The sequence below is a fragment of the Homo sapiens genome, chromosome 10, assembly GCF_000001405.40.
Source record: "Homo sapiens chromosome 10, GRCh38.p14 Primary Assembly".
Lineage (NCBI taxonomy): Eukaryota > Metazoa > Chordata > Mammalia > Primates > Hominidae > Homo > Homo sapiens.
This window is the reverse complement of record NC_000010.11, coordinates 108,327,165-108,335,647: the sequence shown is the minus strand read 5'-3', so window position 1 is coordinate 108,335,647 and position 8,483 is coordinate 108,327,165.

Genomic DNA, 8,483 nt, shown 5'->3' with positions numbered 1-8,483 from the left:
GCGTGTGACCTAGTATAAGAAAAGTTGACCCTCTCACTCCACACATAACATGTTTGTGTGATGAACATGGTGCCTCCTTATAACACACACCAATTTAACAAAATAAAGTCTATTTTTCAATCTGTTTTATAAACCAGAATTCTGTGTAACTTTAACCTGTCAAAATCAACTAAAAATAATGATAGAGTGCAGTTTGTTTACATAATAAGCAAGATTGCTATGACTTGAGTTCCTTCCTCCCCAGTCCTGACCTGTGTTTTTCTCCAGCTCAATTACCTGTTACGTTGTTGTTAGATTCTGTGTCTTTGATCATTATGGCCTTATGTACTGGGCACGTTCTTTCTACTCTTCTTTGTCAGGCTAGCTCTGTTTACTATACTCTTAAGGTTCAGATTAGGAGACATCTCTAGGGAACTTTTGCTTACTCTCAGGTATTAGAGACACCTCCCCATTATCTCCTGAGCCTGTTTCTATGACCAAACTTCCTCAATATATCTTATATACCCTTAAAAGGAAATTCCCTGAAATGTACAGTTTCCAGTGCAAATATAAATAAGTACATTTTATACTGGGAGATTAACAGATGAAAGAAATTGACATTCTAACATGTTGACTTGTTTGTCTCTCCATCTTAAGGGCAAGAACAAAATTGTATTCTTCTTTATATCTTTAATTCCTGACAAAGTGCCTGATATGTGCATGATGGCACCGTAGTAGTATTGAATGCATAAAGAATATAATTATTATGTAATAAGCTTCAATTTGTTTGTGGATATTCACACTGTTCACTGTAGGCCAAACATACTGAGGACAACTTTCTCTAGTATGACTTAAATTCACTATTCCAAAGGCAGCATTTTGATTTGGTCCAAGTAGATGTCACTAGATGGCTAGAAATATTTTTCCTAAAAGGAAAGTCTCTCCTTTAAGTATAAGCACCAACTACCTTCTCTATGACTAAGTGGGATGGGCTCACAGACAGCTTCTATAATACTTAAGATACCAACATAATTCATAACTTCAATGAAATTCTTCTTCCTTAATAATGAAAATATAAGTAGAATTTATTTTAGATAAATGATCACATATTTTAAAATATAAAAAAAAGTAAATTTGCAGGTAAGTATGTATGCAACCAAATATATCACAAAAAAAGAGAGGAATGGAAAACAGAACGAACATTGTCAAATATTTAGAATGTTGAGTGTTATACTGTCACAAAATAATAGCCATGTACTTGGGATAAACAACCAAAACTTTCTGGAAAACTCGTACAGATGGAAACACATACAGATGGAAATAGAGGTGATAAAAGAAAAATCATAGAGGTCTGTTGTGGAATTCTTCCATACCTATTAATTCACACTTTCAACCTATTCCCTTCACAGTGTATTTTCAGAAACTGCTTTTAAATGCAATTCAGTTTAATTTGTCACAGACAGAAGATCAAAACCAATGCTAGGAAGGTCTACTCTGCTTTTGTTTACTTGAGAAAATTTTAACGATAATATTTTCTCACTCTCTTAAGAGTAAGTGCTGTTACATTTTGGACATTTCATATGTGCCTGACATTGTGCTAAAGTCATTCAATGTATTAGTGCATATTATTTTTACACAAACCTCTAAGTGCTTTTATTATTCCCATTAAAGAGCGTAAATGGGATTCTTACTCCAAAGTCGGGTTTTTAGGAGTGAACTTTACAGTTTGTAAAAAGCTGTGATGCTATGATTATGAGGCCCATTCTAGTTTATGTCATATGCTACACTTGCATCCCAAGGACACTGTGCTCAACCTCATGCCTATCCTCTGCAGCATGTAGAATTTGAGCAGGAATGTATGCAAAGTTCACATACCCTCATACCTGCATAGATCTTCCAAGCACTGACATTCTGCTATTTAGACAAGAGAGCACATGAAGCTTCTCTGTAAGTGGCCATCTTCTGCAATTCTGCTTTGTGATACGTCAAACGTTAATGATATTTCTATTTGGTTTCTACCAACTTAAAAAATGTCCAGATGGGAACACCGTCTAAACAGTGATGGTCTGCTGTTTAGATACCACCAGCTTTTAATACCTGCTTATTTTCCTCTTATTCTTTATTTCCTTCTAACTGCTCAAAATGTTCACCTTTAGGTCAGAAATTGATCCTTACATAATTGTGCATTTTGTTCCCCACTTACTAGTTTGTTGTTTAAACTCTATTTAAACTCTGTTTTCTAAGCATTAATTCTTCATATTTAAAACCAAATTTTAAAATTAAAATAAATAAAATTGGGAGGCAGGGCAGAAAGAATCACAGTTTTTCTTCCCAAGCACCAGACTCCTAAAAATTAAAAACAAACAACAACAACCATTAAGAAACAGTTACAAATTTACCAAAGTATCCCTAACAAACTAAAAGTTGACATCCGACTCCTGGTTCTTTGTGTTTTATCCTACCTTGATGGTAGTGCACATATTAAGCCTTCACATATGCTTAAGTAGGAGAGGAGGTGGAGGGAAAACGATAAGGTGAAAACAGTTGAAAACAAGAAAGCATACAAAAAGAATTAAATACCTTGGAATACAGCTAACAAGGGAAGTGAAGGACCTCTTCAAGGAGAACTACAAACCACTGCTCAAGGAAATCAGAGAGGACACAAATAAATGTAAAAACATTCCATGCTTATGGACAGGAGGAATTAAAATCTCGAAAATGGCCATACTGCCCAAAGTAATTTGTAGATTCAATGCTATTCCCATTAAACTACCATTAATATTCTTCATAGAATTAAACGATTTTAAAATTTGTATGGGGCCGGGTGTGGTGGCTCATGCCTATAAGTGTAACACTTTGCGGGGCTGTGGTAGGCAGATCACTTGAGATCAGGAGTTTGAGACCAGCCTGAACAACATGGTAAAACCCCATCTCTACTAAAAATACACACACAAAAATAGCCAGGCGTGATGGCACACACCTGTAATGGGAAGATCACTTGAACCCGGGAGGTGGAGCCTGCAGTGAGCCGAGATCACAACACTGTATTCCAGCATGGGTAACAGAGAGAGACTCCATCTCAAAAAAATAAATAAATAAATAAAAATAAGATAAAATTCGTATGGAACCAAAAAACAGCTCATATAGCCAAGACAATCCTAAACAAAAAGAACAAAGCTGGAGGCATCATGCTACCAGACTTTATACTACAAGGCACAATAACCAAAACAGCACGGAATTGGTCCAAATAGAGACACATACACCAATGGAATAGAATAGTGAACTCTAAGACCACACATCTACAACCATCTGATCTTCAACAAACCTGACAAAAACAAGCAATGGGGAAAGGATTCCCTATTTAGTAAATGGTGCTGGAAGAACTGGATAGCCATATGCAGAAAATTGAAACTGGACCCCTTCTTCACACCTTATACAAAAATTAACTTGATATGGATTAAAGATTTAAATGTAAAACCCAAAACTATAAAAACCCTAGAAGAAAATCTAGCCAATACCATTCAGGACATAGGTATGGGCAAAGATTTCCTGACAAAATCACCAAAAGCAACTGCAACAAAAGCAAAAATTGACAAATGGGATCCAATTAAACTAAAGAGATTCTGCACAGCAAAAGAAATTATCACAGTGAACAGCAACCTACAGAGTGAGCTAAAATGTTTGCAATCTATCCATCTGACAAAGTTCTAATATCAAAAATCTACAAGGAACTTAAACAAATTACAAGAAAAAAACATTAAAATGTGGGCAAAGGACTTGAACAGACACTTCTCAAAAGAAGACATTTATGTGGCCAACAAACGTATGGCAAAAACCTCAGCATCACTGATCATTAGAGAAATATAAACCAAAACCACCATGAGATATCATCTCATGCCAGTCAGAATGGTGATTATTAAAAAGTCAAGAAACAACAGATGCTGGTGAGGTTGGGGAGAAATAGGAACACTTTTATGCTGTTGATGGGAATGTAAATTAGTCCATTGTGGAAGATGGTGTGGCAATTCTTTAAAGACCTAGAACGAGAAATACCATTTGACCGAGTGATCCCATTAGTGGGTATATACCCAAAGGAATATAAATCATTCTATTACAAAGATACATGCACATGTATGTTCACTGTGGTACTATTCGCAATAGCAAAGACATGAAATCAACCCAAATGCCCACCAATGATAGACTGGATAAAGAAAATGTGATAGTTATACACCATGAAATACTATGCCGCTATAAAAAAGAATGAGATCATGTCTTTTGCAGTGACATGTATGGAGCTGGAAGCAATTTTCAGCAAACTAACCCAGGAACAGAAAAACAAACACCACATGTTCTCACATAAGTAGGAGCTAAACAGTGAGAATACATGGACAAAGGGAGGGGAACAACACTGGGTTCTGCTGGCAGGAGGGATGTGGGGAGAGAGAGCTTTAGAAAAAAATAGCTAATGCATGTAGGGCTCAATACCTAGGTGATAGGTTGATAGGTGCAGCAAACCACCATGGCACACATTTACCTATGTAACAAACCTGCACATCCTGCACAGGTACCCCAAAACTTAAGATAGAAATAAAAATAAAACTTAGAAAACAGGAAAGCATAATTTAATATGTAGTAATTATATCCCCACATATGAGGTTCCTCATATAGTCTTCTCAACAAAGAAACTATAGAGTATATATTATTATCTGATATTATCCTAAAGAAAACTAAAACTTAGAATACCTGAGTTTTTAATTCAAAGTTCCTCAACTTTTGAGAGCAGAGCCAGGATGTGCTGCAGTTTCTCAAATTTCATCACTTTGGCTCTAACTATTTACATTACACTGTTCTACTGGTTTTATTTAAGCAGCCTTTGAATTCCATCTAGAAATTAAAACCTATTTGCTTTTTGATAATAAAAACTGAGGTCCCTTTCCAAATTCATTGCTCAAAGTGCAACATTTAAATCATTGTAGTTCACTCTATTTGAACATTTATTCTGTGCCAGATATTGTTCCAAACACTTAATGGGTATTAACTCTTTTAATGCTCACAACAAATACAAGTAGGTGTCTTCTTGTTGTTGTATTTCTATTTTATAGCTCAGAAAATTGAATCAGAGAGAGATTTGAACTTGCCTTAGGTCACATAGCCATATAATGTTAAAGACAGGATTCAAGTCTATGCTATTGGGTGACAGTGCCTATTCATGGTCTGTGATTCTGCCTCCTTTGCATGTCTAACACTCTGGTATCTAGAATTTAGGGTACGTTGTCTGGCAAGCCTTTCCTGATTTATTCAGTTAGTCTTGCTGGTGGATTTTACTGTTATTGGAGTAAGTTCTCATGTCAGACGAATAGCATCTTAGGTCTTGAAGAGACTGGGAACTTTAATATCATCAAGGTGCTAAATTCTACTTCTAGATGTAACAAAATATTCCAAATGACACTGCACAGGCTCACAGCATTAAAGCATCCGTCTGTAAAATATGGGCCACCATCCATCTGAAGCCAATGAAGGATTTTCACTTGGATGCTTCCTGTCCTGGACACAGATTGCTTTATGGTATGGTTGTAGTGCCTGCCCAGTAGGAAGATAAGAATAATGACTTACTATTTTTCTTATTAAACACACACACACTCACACACAAGCATATACACATATACACACAAAAAAGCACTCCTCTTTTGTCTTCCTTGACCATACTATCATTATTCTGTCTCCTTCCTTTGATGTGTTGAGACAATTGTCTGTATTCACTGTCCTCCAATTTTTACCTACTTCTGTTTTCTCTTCAGCATTCTCCAATCATTGCCAATCTCTGAAATCACTTTTCTGATGGATATTTATGGCCACCACTTTACTGAATCTAACAATTAATTCTTAGACCATCTACACTGGCCTATGAATAGTTTGAGTATACATCCTATACTTTTCCTGGGACAATCATATCTCTGTCTATTGTCCTGTTTTAATTATTTATAGCTGCTGCTTTCATTCTGCAATGCATCCAGATTTGGATAATATATTATAAGGTCATTTTAACTCTTAGTACCATATGACCCAATCACTCCATGAAATACTTTTTATACTTGCTCCCCTGTTACCACATGCCTTGTTTCTTCTCCTGGACTTTTTGACTTCTCCTTCTTGGTCTTTGCTAATTGTTCTTCACATTACTCACTCCATGTATTCAAACACCCTAGGACTCAGGAGTTGGAATACCTGAGTCCTAGGTTTCTGTATAACCTTTCCCCCTAGATAGTCATAGTCAATTTTGTGACTTTATGTATGATGATGATAACTCCCAAATTTCCACGTTTGTTTTTTTTTTTTTTTTTTTGAGATGGAGTCTCACTCTGTTGCCCAAGCTGGAGTGCAGTGGTGCAATTTTGGCTCACTGCAGCCTTTGCCTCCCAGGTTCAAGCAATTCTCCTGCCTCAGCCTCCCAAGTAGCTGGGACTACAGGCACATGCCACCACACCCAGCTAATTTTTGTATTTTTAGTAGAGACCCAAATTTCCATCTTTATTCTAACCCTGCTTTTTAATAATTATATTCTTATGCCTAATGTTTAACTCAACATATCCAGCTAATCTGAAATGTAGTATGTCAAAAGAAAATGCTATCACCAACCCACAGCTAATCCTTGCAAACATGACCTCTGCAAATCTGTTTAGTTAATGACAATTTCAGTAGTCAGGGTTCTCCAGAGGGACAGAACCAATAGGATATATGTATATATAAAAGGGAGTTGATTAGGGAGAATTGGCTCACAGAATTACAAGGCAAGGCAGGATAAGCCATCTGCAAGCTTGGGAAAGAGAGAAGCCAGTAGTGGCTCAGTGCAAATTTGAAAGCCTCAAAACTGGAAGCCAACAGTGACCATGGCTGAAGGCCCGAGAGCCCTTGGGAAGCTGCTGATACAAGTCCCAGATTCCAGGTCCCAAAGAACCTGTAGTCTGAGATCCGAGGGCAGGAGGAGCAGAAGTAAGTGTTCAGCACAGGAAGAGCAAAGAGAGCCAGAAGATTAGGCAAGTAAACATCCCACCTTCGTCCACCTTGCCTTTTTCTACCCATGCTGACAGTGATTGGATGGTGCCCACCCACAATGAGGGTACATCTTCCTTTCCTAGTCCACTGACTCAAATGTCAGTCTTTTCTGGCAACATTATCACAAACACACACAGAAGCAATACTTTACCAGCTATCTAGGCATCCCTCAATCCAATCAAGTTGACACTAAATATTAACCATCACACAGGCTATAAATCTTTCAAACTGTAATGCTCTTTTTTTTCCCCATAATATACAATATAAAATCCTCTGTCACACAAAAAAACAGAAAAAAATGTTCTCATTGTTTGCTGTGAAATGCCTAACAGTATCTTATGTGGGCCCATTTTCTCATCTGTTTAACATATGTAGTATGATCTCAAGGGACTGGTGTTCAGTCATGAAAAATCATGAATATTTTGTATTTTAAATATTAAAATATAGTCATGTACTGCATAATGAAATATAGGTCAAGGACAGATCGCATATATGATGGTGGTCCCATAAGATAATAACAGAACAGCACAATTTCTATTGCCTAGTGACATAGGCATTGTAATGTCATAGTGCAGTTATTTTGTTTTCTGTAAATAAATTTATTGTAGCCTAACTGTACAGTGTTTATAAAGTCTACAGTAATGTACAGTAATATACAGTAATATCCTAGTCCTTCACATTCACTTACCACTTACTCACCACTCACTCACCGCTCACTCACTCACCACTCACTCGCTCATTGACTCACCCAGACCAATTTTCAGTTCTGCAAGCTACATCATAGTAAGTTCCCTACACGGTTTACCTTTTTATTTTTTATCTTTTATACCATATTTTTGCTATACCATTTCTGTGTTTAGATATGTTTGGGGACAAACATGATTGCATTACAATTGTATACAATATTCAGTATAGTAACATGCTGTACCGATTTATAGGCTAGAGCAAGAGGCTAAGCCATGAATCTAGATGTGTGGTAGGGTATGCCATGTAAGTTGTGTGAGTGGACTCTATGATGTTCACACAATGACAAAATAGCCTAACAACGCATTTCTCAGAAAGTATCTTGTCTTTAAGTGCCACACGACTCCAAAGCCACATTCTTTAAAAATAGCCAAATCCGCGAGATCAACCCCAGACTGCTGTGAGGGCCAAAGCCTAACAGCCCCCAGGATGTGACTCCAGTACAATGAGCTGACATCCATTTTTAATGATCAATATTTAGGTCACTCTGACTGTAAAATAATTTGACCCTCACTTCTGCTTACCCTTTAGTGGAATCGGAAGAATGAAGTGCCTTAAGCAGCCATGAATAAATCACCAACGCTAAATCCATTATATAAACTTTAGAAGTGCTTTTTAACTAACTTTTAACCAGATACATTTGTCACTTTATTATCTGAATGATTTGTTTTCTTTGGCCATGCTTTGCTATAATTTTTTTAATAGCT